This window comes from Homo sapiens, chromosome 10 (genome assembly GCF_000001405.40).
Source record: "Homo sapiens chromosome 10, GRCh38.p14 Primary Assembly".
Classification (NCBI taxonomy): Eukaryota; Metazoa; Chordata; class Mammalia; order Primates; family Hominidae; genus Homo; species Homo sapiens.
The window spans coordinates 35,088,737-35,102,735 of NC_000010.11; the positions used below are offsets into that span (position 1 = coordinate 35,088,737).

The following is a 13,999-nucleotide window of genomic DNA, read 5'->3' on the forward strand; positions in this document are numbered from 1 at the left end:
TGGAGAATGAAGAGTATTTCAGATGCAGGAGAACATCCAAATACTCAAAAAGCAATTGAAAAGGAATTTTTCCCACGCTATGTGCATGCACATTGTAGAAATGTTCCCCCAACTCATAAACAGCAATTGAAAAAAACAAGTAATTCAAAACACTGTGGGCTGGGCGCAGTAGCTCAGGCCTGTAATCCCAGCACTTTGGGAGGCCTAAGCAGGCGAATCACCTGAGGTCAGGAGTTCAAGACCAGCCTGGCCAACATGGTGAAACCCCATCTCCACTAAAAATACAAAATTAGCCGGGCATGGTGGCGCATGCCAGTAATCCCAGCTACATGGAAGGCTAAGGCAGAAGAATTGCTTGAACCCGGGAGGCGGAGGTTGCAGTGAGCCGAGATCGCACCACTGCACTCCAGCCTGGGTGACAAGAGCAAAACTCCATCTCAAAACAAAAAAACTGTGTACTTCTCTTATCTCACGCGACTCTTTTGGAAGGATCTTCCAGATACTGTATAAGGGCAAAAGAAGCAAAGTATAGCTCATTTGTTCATGTGTCTGTCTTGAAAAGGAATGTAAGATTCTAAAGGGTAGGCAACAGTGTTTTGAATGTTTTTAAGCGATTATTATGTAGTCAGTTGTCAATCAGATCAAAGTGATTATTTCCGATACTTTACTACGAAGGTAGGCTTGGCCAGGTCTAGTTCAAAGACGTTTATGTTGAACAGTCACAATCTATAGCGAACGTTAATATTTTGCATCTTATCTTCAAAATTTAAACGCCCAGGGTACTGGCCTTCAACTGTTAATATTAATCCATGGGGCAAAGATGTGGACTTAACATTAATAACAGTCTGCAATTCACAGATGTTTTATTTGCATGCACGTAATGGTAGGGAATGGTCCAGACTCTCTAGAGGGTAAGCAAGTGCTAGAAAGCGTGTGAGGATCTTATTTCACCAGACCCTAAGGGTTGAGACAAGAAGTCTAGCATGCACGTAGGATACTCCTCCCCAAAGCTATCAATCTTTGCAGTCTGCGGAAACAAAAGTGAAAACACTCGGGGTAAGGATGCATGAGATGCCCCCCCCCACACACACACACAAACACACAGAGTTGTGTATTCGTGTGAGCACGTAAATATGTAGAAGAATACACGCACTCTCACCTTCCCTCCTTCGAAGGAAAATGGGGCCGCGGGAGAGGCGGCCAAGATCGGGTTGGGGAGGCCCGGGATCCAGTCCAGGGGGTGGCAGGGCTTACGGGTCAGCGCTCTGGGGAGCCGAGGTCACTTACAGGATACCATCTTCCCGGGCCTCCCCCTTTCATCCCTCTCCCCACACCTCGTCGCCCCCAACTCCTCTCCTCCGCCCCAGCCCCGCCACCCATTAACCGGGAAGGGAAGTTTCCCGGCGCCTGCAGCCCGGCTCCCCGACCCTCAGCGGGGTTACCTTCTGCAGAAGCAGGGCAAGGGGCAGGGGACAAGGGGAGGGGGAGGCAGCCCGAAGGAGTGAAAGACGAAGCCCCGGCGAGGAAGGTGGGCGGAGGCGGCGGCGGCGGCGGCTGTCAGCTCGCGTTCCCCTGCTCACAGCGCTGCCATTACTGTGCGCCGAGGCCGCCTCCCCGGCCGGCCGCCGCCACCGGCCCCGGAGACGCGGGGGGTGGGGAGCGAAGCCCGGGGAGCCCGCGCGCCGACACTCACCTGTCTCCGCGAGGAAAGACAGCAAAGTCCAAGGCCGCCGCCGCTCCCCGGCGGGACAGGGGCGGTAGGGAGGGGGGGAAAGGGGAGAAGGACGGGCCGATCACGGGATCCGTAAAACAATCGTCCTCCTCTGCCTCCGGCTTTGCCCAACACACACCCTCCGGTCTCCTTCTTCCGCTGCTGCCAAATCCCCCCCGCCACCCGGAAAGCAATGGTACAGGCCGCGTTACGGCAAGCGCAGGGAGCCAAGCTTCGTGTGATTGCGAAAGGCCACGGAAATTAATATTCCAAGTGATTCCTTGCTGGGCTTGCTGTCAATGAGGCAATTGCGGTTCGCTGAGCTGATGGACACAGTACCCACCCACTACCCGTTAGTTCAGGGACTGCTAATAACAATATGTTGGAATGGTGCTTTCAACAGAAGTATGTTTTCCTTGTTTCAGACCTATGTGAATATCCTAAGACACCACAATCCTCTTGCCACACACTTCCATGGGCTTTGCAAATGATCAAAAATAAATTAGCAAAACTACTTTTCCTCTCTGACAAACTCTTTTTCTTGTTAGTTTTTATCTACAGAGAATTTCTTGGACATACATGTATTTTCGATAAAGAAACTTCACATCTTTTTCACTAATACCCCACCTTCACCAAGCCCCAAGCCTATCAGTTTGAAGGGTTTTCCTCCCTTGGAGTTTTAAACGGTAAAGCTGATAAAAATATAGAATTACTCATCACCTCCTCATATATGCAGGGCCACAGAGGAACAAAAGCCCGGCCTTAGTGCTTTTTGCCTTTCATATCCTCAAGAGCTCACCATCAGGGTCTTGTTCATTTATACGATTCAGCAAGCTTTTCCCTCCCATCCCTTCCTTCCAAACTGCACGAACCCTTCAAGGCCCATTTAAAACCCTGCCTCCAGACCTGATCAGTCCCTAGAGCCTTCCTCCTCTTCTAATCTGCTTCTCTTGGTACTTGAAGTCTCTACTCTTTATTTCAGTAAAGGGTTTTTATATACGAAATTCAATCCAACAGTATGTTTCCATTATGTGACCTTTTTTTCCTCCCATGTTTTCCCCCTTTTAATCTAGTGATTCTCAAAGTGTGGTCCCCAGACCTCTGGAAATCCCTGAGACCTTTACAGAGGTCATAAGGTTAACAACTAGTTTGTTAACAATGCAATATGTCTGGTCCTTTTTTTTTTTGGATACAGAGTCTTGCTCTGTCACCCAGGCTGGAATGCAGTGGCGGCACAATCTCAGCTCACTGCAACCTGCACCTCCCGGGTTCAAGTGATTCTCCTGTCTCAGCTTCCCGAGTAGCTGGTATTACAGAAGCCCGCCACCACACCCGGCTAATTTTTTGTATTTTGTAGAGACAGGGTTTCACCATGTCACCACATTGCCCAGGCTGGTCTTGAACTCCTGAGCTCAGGCAATCCACCCACCTCAGCCTCCCAAAGTGCTAGGATTACAGGCCTGAGCCACCGTGTCAGGCCCCCCCTGCTTTTTGTTTTGTTTTGTTTTTGTTTTTGACACAGGGTCTCCCTCTGTCGCTGAGGCTGGAGTGCAGGAGTGCAGTGGCCTGATCATAGCTCACTGCGGCCTCAAACTCCTGGGCTCAAGCGAGTGTACCATCTCAGTTTCCGAAGCAGCTGTGACTACAGGCGCGTGCGCCACCACACCCAGCTAATTTTTGTATTTTTGGTAGACATGGGGTCTCACTATGTTGCCCAGGCTCCTCTGGAACTCCTGAGCTCAAGCGATCTGCCCACCTCAGCCTCCCAAAAGTTCTGGGATTACAGGAGTGAGCCACCATGCCTGGCCTCCTCTGTCTTTTTGACTGAGTTTGTTTTTGTACTGATGGTGCAAAGGAATACGGACACTATTGATGCCTTAGCAGGGATCAAGACAGTGCCACCAACCTGTCCGGGTGGTCATTGGATCGCTGTATTCTTCACTGCCATACATTCCCAGTTTTTAAGGCTATTGATTTAGGAATATCCTGGATGAAGCGGAAGCATTAATTTTATTAAATTTTGGCCCTTGAATACAAGTCTTTCTAATACTCTGTGTGAAGAAATGGGAAGTACACATGCACTTCTGCATGCCAAAGTGGGATGGCTGTCTTGAAGAAAAGCACTTGTGTGGTTGACTTACAGGCTGAACTACCTGCATTTTTCATGGTGAAACTGCCTTTGCAAAACATGATAGTAAGAGGAATCTGACCTCATTGATTTAATCTTGCTTCTGACCTCCAAGGTGTTCCTGGTCATTCCTGGGCATAGGCCAACTTAATTTGGGGAGGAAGTTAGTTTATGGTTTAACTTGAAAGCTAAGTTCCTCCCTAAAACTACCCCTGCTCTTGCTTAGGGATGAAAAACCACCTTTGGAAGACTAATGAAAAGCAGCAAGAATAGGATTATGGGAGGGGTGTGAACTTTGCTAAAGTGTAGGCATATTTCTATTAATATACTCCCTTACTGCTCAGGGGTCATGTGGCCAGAGGTCACAAGATTTGTGACTTCCCCAGTTGCTCCTATAAATAACATCAGTATTGTACAACTTTAGATTGCTTTTTGAGATATTTTTCAGACTGACCCCACCTGGACTCGTGACTCATGACTCAGAACTGGTCCTATGGCCCCACCCAGAGGCAGGCTCAGCACTCAAGGACTGTTTTCCACACCCCTATGATTCCATCCCCAACCCATCAGCAGAACCCATTCTCTAGTCCCCTGCTCACCAAATTGTCCATAAAAACCCCAACCTCCAACCCAGGGGGAGACTGATTTGAGTGATAACTCCAGTTCTCCTATGTGACTGGCCTTGGGTCAATTAAACACTTTCTCTACTGCAATACCTTGGTCTCGGTGAATTTTGTCTGTGCAGTAGCCAAGAAGAACCCATCTGGCCATTACAATGGAAGGCCATTTTTACTTGAAAGAACAATTGACAGACTTGGTGGCTCATGCCTCCCAGCACTTTGGGAGGCTGAGGTGGGCAGATCTCTTGAGTGTAGGAATTTGAGATCAGCCTGGACAATATAGCAAAACCCCATCTCTACAAAAAATACAAAATTTAGCCAGGCATGGTGGTGTGTGCTGGTAGTCACAGCTTCTTGGGAGGCTGAGGTGGGAGAATCACTTGAACCTGGGAGGCAGATGTTGCAGTGAGCCAAGATCACGCCATACTGCACCCAGCCTGGGCAATAAAGGCAGACCTTCTCTCAAAAAAAAAAAAAAAAAAAAAAGAAAAGAAAAGAAGAAGAAATTACCACTTGTTGAATTTCACTATAGTATCAAAGAAGAATATCCATAATTATCCAAAAAGACTATTTAATTTTCTTTCAAAGGCCTGAGTTTCTTCATATATTTCAACCATAGAGAACCTAGCTATCTTCTATTAAATCAAATATTTAGAGAGTTGCAAAAATACAAAAGCAATCCTTTTCCTCTGATCAAATTTTTTTTATTTTGGAAAATATGGTTATTTTTCATAAAAGCATGCAATTTATGTTAAATGTGTTTGGTTTATTATTTTTAAAATTAATCAGTAATTTAAAAATTTTTATCCTTTAAATTTCTAATACAATAACTATTTATAGATAGATAGTTTCCTGAGGCCTCCCTAGACACTGAGCAGATGCCAGGATCGTGCTTCTTGTACAGCCTGCAGAACCATGAGCCAATTAAACCTCTTTATTTCATCAATTACACAGTCTCAGGTATTTCATTATAACAATACAAGAATGGCATAATACAATAGATATAACCCACATGAACATAAGCTCTTCTAAGTCCTCGATAATTTTTTTTTTTTTTGAGATGGAGTTTCGCTCTTGTTGCCCAGGCTGGAGTGCAATGGTGCGATCTTGGCTCACTGCAACCTCCGCCTCCCAGGTTCAAGCTATTCTCCTGCCTCAGCCTCCCGAGTAGCTGAGATTACAAGCACGTGCCACCACGCCCAGCTAATTTTGTATTTTTAGTAGAGATGGGGTTTCACCATGTTGGTCAGGCTGGTCTTGAACTCCTGACCTCAGGTGATTTGCCCGCCTGGGCCTCCCAAAGTGCTGGGATTACAGGCGGGAGCCACTGCACCCAGCTAGAGTAATTTTTAAGCGTGTAAAGAAACTGAAAAGTTTGAGAACCACTGCTCTAACTCATGAAATTCCTTCACTCTCATCATGTTCCTCTTAACTCTGGTTGGAAATGTGATCGAGCGTGAAGGGTGCCAACCATGAATCACTATAACAGCCCCCTTTATTTCTAAATTCCAGAGATTGCCCCCACCTCTTGACAGTTTACCCAAACTCTACAGTAGGGAAATAATATTCGTAAAATAGTTATTAGCATCCAAGCCCTTAATATCAAAGTGAAATTACTTCTTTTCCAGAAAAAAAAATTCTTTCTGGGTAACCCTTTAAGTTACCACTTTTAGCATTAGTTGGTCCTTACTCCCCAAACAAACCTCAAATCCTAGTTCATCTATGATTGCTTTCCTTGTTTTACTTTTTAGCTAATGCTACATTTTACAAAACTGTGTTTTGGCCTTGTATGTTTATTTAATTCCTTTATAATTGTTTCTGACTTCAAAAGTAATGTTGGCGGGGCACAATGGCTCACACTTGTAATCCCAGCACTTTGGGAGGCTGAGGCTGGTGGATCACTTGAGGTAAGGTGGATCACTTCGAGACCAGCCTGGCCAATATGGTAAAACCTTGTCTCTACTAAAAAAATACAAAAATTAGCTGGGCATAGTGCTGCATGCCTGAAATCCCAGCTACTCAGGAGGCTGAGGCAGGAGAATCACTTGAATTCACAAGGTGGAGATTGCAGTGAACCGAGATCATGCCACTGCACTCCAGCCTGACAATAGAGCAAGACTCCATCTCAAAAAAAAAAAAAAAGAAAGAAAGAAATACATGCTTTTTGTAAAAACTACCTCTATTACAGAAATAGAGAATCATGTTTGGGTTGATGTACATAACTCACAATTTATTTCTATGAATATGATTAAATATATTTTTATACGTATCAGAACATATAATATATATGCTATTTTGTAGTCAGCTATTTGTACTTCTCTGATTTTGATCTTTATGAAAATGCAAATAATTATTTTGTGTGTGTGTGTATATATATTTTTGAGACAGAGTCTCCCTCCGTTGCCCGGGCTGGAGTGCAGTGGTGTGATCTCTGCTCACTGCAACCTCCGCCTCCCCGGTTCAAGCCATTCTCATGCCTCAGACTCCCGAGTAGCTGGAACTACAGGCACATGCCAATACACCCAGCGAATTTTTTTGTATTTTTAGTAGAGACAAGGTTTCACCATATTGGCCAGGCTGGTCTTGAACTCCTGACCTCAAGTGATCCACCCGCCTCAGCCTCCCAAAGAGTTGAGATTACAGGCGTGAGCCACCAAGCCCGGCCAGTTATGTCATGTATTAAACATTTTTCTACCTTTTATTTTGGGATACCCCTAGATACTGTACAACAGTTTTAACGTTTGGAGTGGCTCATTAAGGAGCTATTTTGAGGCTGGGCGTGATGGCTTAGCCTGTAATCCCAGCACTTTCGGAGTCCGAGGCGGGTGGATTGCTCGAGGCCAGGACCTTGAGACCAGCCTGGCCAATATGGTCAGACCCTATCTCTACTAAAAATACAAAAATAAGCCTGGGCTGGTGGTGTGTGCCTGTAATCCCAGCTACTCAGGAGGCTGAGGCAGGAGAATCACTTGAACCTCAGAGGCAGAGGTTTCAGTGAGTTGAGATCTTGCCACTCCAGCATGGGCAACAGAGTAAGGCTCTGTCTCAGAAAAGAAAAAAACAAAACAAAACAGCTATTTTGAGCTTACAAAAGTGCGAGTCTCTTTAAAGAAGTGGCTGACGTGATGGCCGGGTACAGTGGCTCATGCCTGTAATCCCAGCACTTTGGAAGATGGGGATAGAAGGGTTACTTGAGGCCAGGAGTTCAAGACCAGCCTGGGCAACAGAGCAAAACCCTGTCTCTATGAAAAATAAATACAACAAAATAGCAGCTGGGTATGGTGGTGCATGCCTGTAGTCCCAGCTACTCTGGAGGCTGAAATGGGAGGATCACTTGAGTCCAGGAGGTCATGTTTGCAGTGAGCTGTGATTATGCCACTGCACTACAGACTGGGTAACAGAGCCAGACCCTATCTTTAAACAAACAAATAAACAAAACTGTATAGGTTAAGAAAGTAAGGAAGTACTAAAAAACAAAACAAAACAAAATCTGCTTCCATAAGAGTATTTCAAAGGGGCACAGGAGCCAACTGAGAGACAGATGGTGTTGTTTGCTGAAACTAAATTGCTCGTGTTAGGTTTTTAGTAGTAGAAAGATGTAGCTTCAGGTCCACTTTTTTTTTTTTTTTTTTGAGATGGAGTTTCACTCTGTTGCCCAGGCTGGAGTGCAGTGGTGCAATCTCAGCTCACTGCAACCTCTGCCTCCTGGCTTCAAGTGATTCTCCTGCCTCAGCTTCCCAAGTAGCTGGGATTACAGACGCCTTCCACCATACTCGGCTATTTTTTGTATTTTTCGTAGAGACGGGGTTTCACCATGTTGGCCAGGCTGGTCTCGAACTCCTGTCTCCACATGACCCGTCCACCTCAACCTCCCAAAGTGCTAGGATTACAGGCGTGAGCCACCGTGCCCAGCCTCATGCCCCTTTTCTTCAAAGGTTTACCTTATCTTATGTAAACTGTAGATTTACTGAGCACCAACTAAAGTGTCACAAGTAGGTAACTATTTGCTCACTGCCACCCCCTTGATTTAAGAAAAATGTATAAATACTGAACTTCCTGCGAACCTCTTTGGAAAAAGCAGCCAGATGCATCTGTGCCTTGGATTTTTCCTAGCTGTACCCTTAAGCTGGCTCAGTACACCTCAAGGAGGGAGGATTGCTTGAGGCCAGAAGTGCAAGACCAGCCTGGGGAGGCTGAGGTGGAAGGATTGCTTGAGTTCAGGAGATTGAGATTGCAGTGAACTGTGATCGCACCATTGCCCTCCAGCTTGGGCAACAGAGCAAGACCCCCTGTCTCAAAAAAAAAAAAAAAAAAAGAACTTACAGTGGTGCAATCTGACAAATACCCTTCAGTCAGGTGATCAAGCCCAGTATTAACAATGTACCCTTGGCATGATGTGCTGAGAATGGCACTTTACCTCTGTGATCATCCTCCCCAAACCCCTAAGCCCAGTCTATCATGAGAAGAATATTAGACAAATTCCTGCTGGGCACAGTGGCTCACGCCTGCAATTGACACTTTGGGAGTCCATGGTGGGTGGATCACTTGAGGTCAGGAGTTTGAGACTACCCTGGGCAATACAGCAAGACCCCATCTTTACCAAAAATACAAAAATTAGCCAGGCTTGGTGGTGCATGCCTGTAGTCCCAGCTACTGGGGAGGCTGAGACATGAGAATCACTTGAGCCCAGGAGGCAGAGGTTGCAGTGAGCCACAATCATGCCACTGCACTCCAGCCTGGGTGACAGACCAAGACTCTGACTCAAAAAAATTAATTAATTAAATAAAATTAAATAAATAAATAAAAGAACAAAAGTACAAGGTCTTTAATCGGAAAAGCTCAGAACTCATATCATATTCTGTGGGTGATAGTGGTACCAGATGAACAGGTTATATCTTTGCCTCTCCTAGACAATTCTGGTTGAAAGCTATTTTAAAAGGAAATATAAAAAGTATTCTTTTTTAATAAAAAGAAATTACCAGTGGATCCTTTATATTTCTTTGCAGTCACTTTTAGACAGGTAATTTAATAAGCTAAAAGCTGCACTGAAAAAGAACTCATTTTGAGGAAAAGCCCACTATTTGAGATAGATAACTCACTATTTGAGATAGATGATGCATTTATGATTTCTCAAAATTGGGAATACAGAGTAAATCTGGGTAATGGATTGCAAGGACTTATACATGACATGTGAAAGAAGGGGAGATGACATTTTTCTGAACTGTTACATCATATTAAAAATACCCCAGGCACGGTGGCTTACACCTGTAATACCAGCACTTTAGGAAGCCAAGGCAAGAGGATTGCTTGAGGTCAGGAGTTCAAGACAAGACCTATTTCTACCAAGAAAAAAAAAATGTGTGTTACCAAGAGCAAAATATGAATTGTGACCCACCCAGATAAGGATGATGACAAAGAAGATGGAAGAACTTGTAACTTAATAAAAATAAGCAGGCGGGGCACAGTGGCTCATGCCTGTAATCCCAGCACTTTGGGAAGCCAACACGGGTGGATCACCTGAGGTCAGGAGTTCGAGACCAACCTGGCCAACATGGCGAAACCCCATCTCTACTAAAAAAAACCAAAAAATTAGCTGGGCACGGTGGCAGGCGCCTGTAATCCCAGTTACTTGGGAGGCTGACGCAGGAGAATTGCTTGAACCTAGGAGGCAGAGGTTGTAGTGAGTTGAGATTGCATCATTGCACTCCAGCCTGGGCAACAAAGCAAGACTCTGTCTCGAAATAAATAAATTAAATAAGTAATATAGGCCATCTCATTTGAGAAGATAGGAACAAAGAAAGCGAACAAGTCAAATGTGGTAAGTCTGGAGGGAAGCTAATTCACAGAAAGAACAAATGGACTAAAAGACGTAGTTCCTGGGCTAAGGAAGGTGGTTGATCAATAATATTAACTTGGGCTGGGTGCATTGGCTCATGCCTTTAATCCCAGCACTTTGGGAGGCCGAGGAGGGCAGATCACGAGGTCAGGAGATCCAGACCATCCTGGCCAACATGGTTAAAACCTGTTCTTCTAAAATACAAAAAAATTAGCTGGGCATGGTGTTACGCGCCTGTAGTCCCAGCTACTCGGGAGACTGAGGCAGGGGAATCACTTGAACCTGGGAGGCGGAGATTGCAGTGAGCCTTGATAGCATGGCTGCACTCCAGCCTGGCGACAAAGTGAGACTCCGTCTAAAAAAAAAAAAAAAAAAAAAATTAACTTGTACCAAGTGGTTCCTGAATACTGGGTTTGCTCAACATCAGTGTTAGAAGTAGAAACTACCCAAGATTATACAACCAGATTTCTAAAATAGCATACTTAGACTTAGCGAGGCTGAGGCAGGTGGATCACCTGAGGTCACGAGTTCAAGACTAGCTTAGTCAACGTGGTGAAAGCCCGTCTCTACTAAAAATAAAAAAATAAAATAAAAATTAGCTGTGTGTGGTGGTGCATGCCTATGATCCTAGCTACTTGGGAGGCTGAGGCACGAGAATCGCTTGAACCTGAGAGGCAGAGGTTGCAGCCTGGGCGACAGAGCAAGACTCCACCCAAAATAAAATAAAAAAATAAAATAGCTTACTTAGATATGGATGGCAAGGTTAAGAATCTGAGCTAAGTGTCAATGCCTTTTCCAATAAATAAAATATGTGTTAAGTAAGCCAAAAGAAAAAAAGAAAAAAATGGACTTTTATTAACCTTATGGTTTACTTGACTAGATCTCTGTGGGCAAGTGAATAAGACTAATATACTAAGAATTGTGTAGTGGGGTTTTTGTTTTCTTTTTTTGTTTTCTAGAGACAGAGTCTTGCTATGTTGCCCAGGCTGGTCTGAAACTCCTGGTCTCAAGCAATCCTCCTGTCTTGGCCTCCCAAAGTGCTGGAATTATAGGCATGAGCTACTGTGCCCGGTCTTGTACAGTCATTTAATATTTAATAAAATATTATATAAAATAAAATAGTCTGGCATAACACCAACCTAAAAAAAGGTTAGCAACATCTTGCTTCCAAAAAGACATCTTTTGCTATTAGAAATAAAACAAAGAAAAAACATTCACAATATGAACTCTTAGATCAGAGTATGCACCAAACATTCCGCTAGAAATAAAAAAGGATAAATCTGCTGGGCCTTTTATAACCTGCACTACATGTAACAAGTTACTCACTTGAAGACTACATCCTCATCACATTTCTCTTATTAGAAAAGATTGGAGGCATGGCCCCTATTGCACTGTTTTATACTTTATTTTCTGTTTTTCTGGTTTTATTTTTATTTTTAAATGACCCAGGCCAGGCGTGGTGGCTCATGCCTGTAATCCCAGCACTTTGGGAGGCCGAGGCAGGCGGATCACTTGAGGTCAGGAATTTAAGACCAGCCTGGCCAACATGGCGAAACCTCGTCTCTACTAAAAATAGAAAAATTAACTGGGCATGGTGGTGCATACCTGTAATCCCAGCTACTCGGGAGGCTGAAGCAGGAGAATCGCTTGAACCCAGGAGGCAGAGGTTGCAGTGAGTCAAGATAGCACCACTGCACTCCAACCTGGGAGACAGAGTCCATCTCAAAAAAAAAAAAAAAAAAAAAAAAAGACCCTACAGTAAAAATTGACAGGGGAGAGGGGTGTACCTTCTATCCATTTCAACCCACTTACAGCCATGCGTGGCCATCACCGCAATCAGGATACAGAAGAGTTCCATTCTCCCCAATAAGCTGTCCTGTGCTTTTCCTCTCTATATCACAGGGTTTTCTTTCCATGTCGCCATGGGTTTTCGTCCATGTCCTTTGCCACCTGAGTTTTTCTCCCTTCTTCCCAGTCATTTCTGACCACTTGAGCCTTGGAACAATCAGGAATGGAGAGTGCCTCTATCCTAGGAGTGAGAAAAGGGAGAGGGAATTAGAGGAGAGGTCTTCTGGGTTGTGGGAATACAGGAACCTTATTCAGATCAGATCATGAGGTTTCCAGCCTTCTATCTGGAAGAGTCTCATAGCCAGTTGGGCATTTAATTTAGCTCAACTAAAAATCTCTAATAAAGGTGAGAGGTATTAAGCCATCAACAGACATTCACCTGATGCCGCTGGCAATAGTGGCTTATAATTGTGGGACAGCTCAAAACTACAGAACCAGTTGCTTTCAGCATGGAGACAACGGGTCTACCATTGTAGAAAATGTGGAGACCACACATTGACCTCATTAGTACCAACATCTAGCCATACACAGGAATCTGTTTTAATATCACCAGATTAACTCACATCAAAACAGTTGCTTTGATTTTTAGGGTCCATTATTATTCCTGTTTTACTGGAAGCTACAATGAAGACTTAAGTGATGGAAGTGTCAACACAATAGATTCATGCCTACTAATTCCTGCTGTAGAACCCCTGAGACCAAGATTAGTTTTGAACTGAAGAGTTACAAGTGGGATGCTAGGTCCTCTCACAGCTCAGTGACCACACACACAAGCACTCGTTTCTTCTGAATCAACTCTTGTAACTCTTCAGTTCCAAACTAATCTTTTGTATCATTCAATTCTACTCCAGTATCAAAAGCATAATTAGAAGATGTATTTCACCCAGAACTAGAGCAGTTGCTATTGACATTTGTAGCAGTACAGCTTGTGCTCGGCTCCCTGCTCTAATTCTAGTGCACCAAAGGGGAATGGTTTCTAATTAGAGGGAGTAGAACTAACAGAGCATGAAAAACAGGATATCTGTGTTGTAGCTGTAACATACCTAAGTTATTTAGTGTCTGCACTTGACTAATAAAATAAGAAACAGCCTCCCAAAATGCTGGGATTACAGGTGTGAGCCATTGCCAGGCAGGCCAATCACCTGAAGTAGAGAGTTCGAGACCAGCCTGGCCAATAAGGTGAAACCCCATCTCTACCAAAAATACAAAAATTAGCCAAGCGTGGTGGCACATGCCTGTAATCCCAGCTACTTGAAAGGCTGAGGCAGGAGAATCGCTTGAACCCGGGAGGCAGAGGTTACAGTGAGCTGAGATTGTGCCACTCCAGCCTGGGTGACAGAGCGAGACTCCATCTCAAAAAACAATAATAATAACATTAATAAAAATAAAAACAAAATAAAATAAGAAACAGGCTGGGTGCTGTGACTCACACCTGCAATCCCAACACTTCGGGAAGCCAAGGCAGGTGGATAACTTGAGGCCAGGAGTTCAAGACCAGCCTGGCCAACATAGTGAAATCCTGTCTCCACTAGAAATACAAAAATTAGCCAGGCATGGTAGCACATGCCTGTAATTCCAGCTACTTGGGAGGCTGAGGCATGAGAATCACTGGAACCTGGGAGGCAGAGGTTACAGTGAGCTGAGACTGTTCCACTGCACTCCAGCCTGAGCAACAGAGCTAGACTCTGTCTCAAAAAAATAATAAAAAATAAATAAATTTAAAGGCCTGGCACCGTGGCTCATACCTGTAATCCCAGCACTTTGAGAGACCGAGGCGGGTGGATCATGAGGTCAGGAGTTCAAGACCAGCCTGGCCAAGGTGGTGAAACCTTGTCTCTACTAAAAATGCAAAAATT

At 44.5% G+C, this 13,999-nt stretch overlaps 1 protein-coding gene across 8 annotated transcripts in view, besides 5 other annotated features; it reads right to left on the reverse strand.

Annotated features, from left to right (window-relative positions):
• CUL2 (cullin 2) overlaps nt 1–13,999 on the reverse strand; it is a 118,456-nt gene that overhangs the window by 80,186 nt on the left and 24,271 nt on the right. For 4 of the 8 annotated variants that reach the window (XM_011519745.2, XM_047425852.1, XM_011519743.1 and 1 more), the window contains one exon: nt 12,108–12,324. In XM_011519745.2, coding sequence (XP_011518047.1) covers nt 12,108–12,274 — 167 coding nt within the window. In that variant the 5' untranslated portion in view covers nt 12,275–12,324. Of the gene's footprint in view, nt 1–1,159; nt 1,266–1,442; nt 1,606–1,693; nt 1,879–12,107; nt 12,325–13,999 lie in introns of those variants that run through there. The other 4 variants (NM_001324375.2, NM_003591.4, XM_011519747.2 and 1 more) reach the window with 3 other exon arrangements.
• Nucleotides 1,376–1,505: a silencer, noted in NCBI's record as "silent region_2297". NCBI's record gives its function as "represses an Ori minimal core promoter by ATAC-STARR-seq in GM12878 lymphoblastoid cells {active_cell/tissue: GM12878}" and the evidence as "EXISTENCE:reporter gene assay evidence [ECO:0000049][PMID:35858748]".
• Nucleotides 1,526–1,725: a silencer, noted in NCBI's record as "silent region_2298". NCBI's record gives its function as "represses an Ori minimal core promoter by ATAC-STARR-seq in GM12878 lymphoblastoid cells {active_cell/tissue: GM12878}" and the evidence as "EXISTENCE:reporter gene assay evidence [ECO:0000049][PMID:35858748]".
• Nucleotides 1,779–1,967: a silencer, noted in NCBI's record as "fragment chr10:35379443-35379631 (GRCh37/hg19 assembly coordinates)". NCBI's record gives its function as "represses an EF-1alpha promoter that drives an FKBP-Casp9 reporter gene in an ReSE screen in K562 erythroleukemia cells {active_cell/tissue: K562}" and the evidence as "EXISTENCE:reporter gene assay evidence [ECO:0000049][PMID:32094911]".
• Nucleotides 1,779–2,025: a biological region, named in NCBI's record as "ReSE screen-validated silencer GRCh37_chr10:35379443-35379631".
• Nucleotides 1,886–2,025: an enhancer, noted in NCBI's record as "active region_3258". NCBI's record gives its function as "activates an Ori minimal core promoter by ATAC-STARR-seq in GM12878 lymphoblastoid cells {active_cell/tissue: GM12878}" and the evidence as "EXISTENCE:reporter gene assay evidence [ECO:0000049][PMID:35858748]".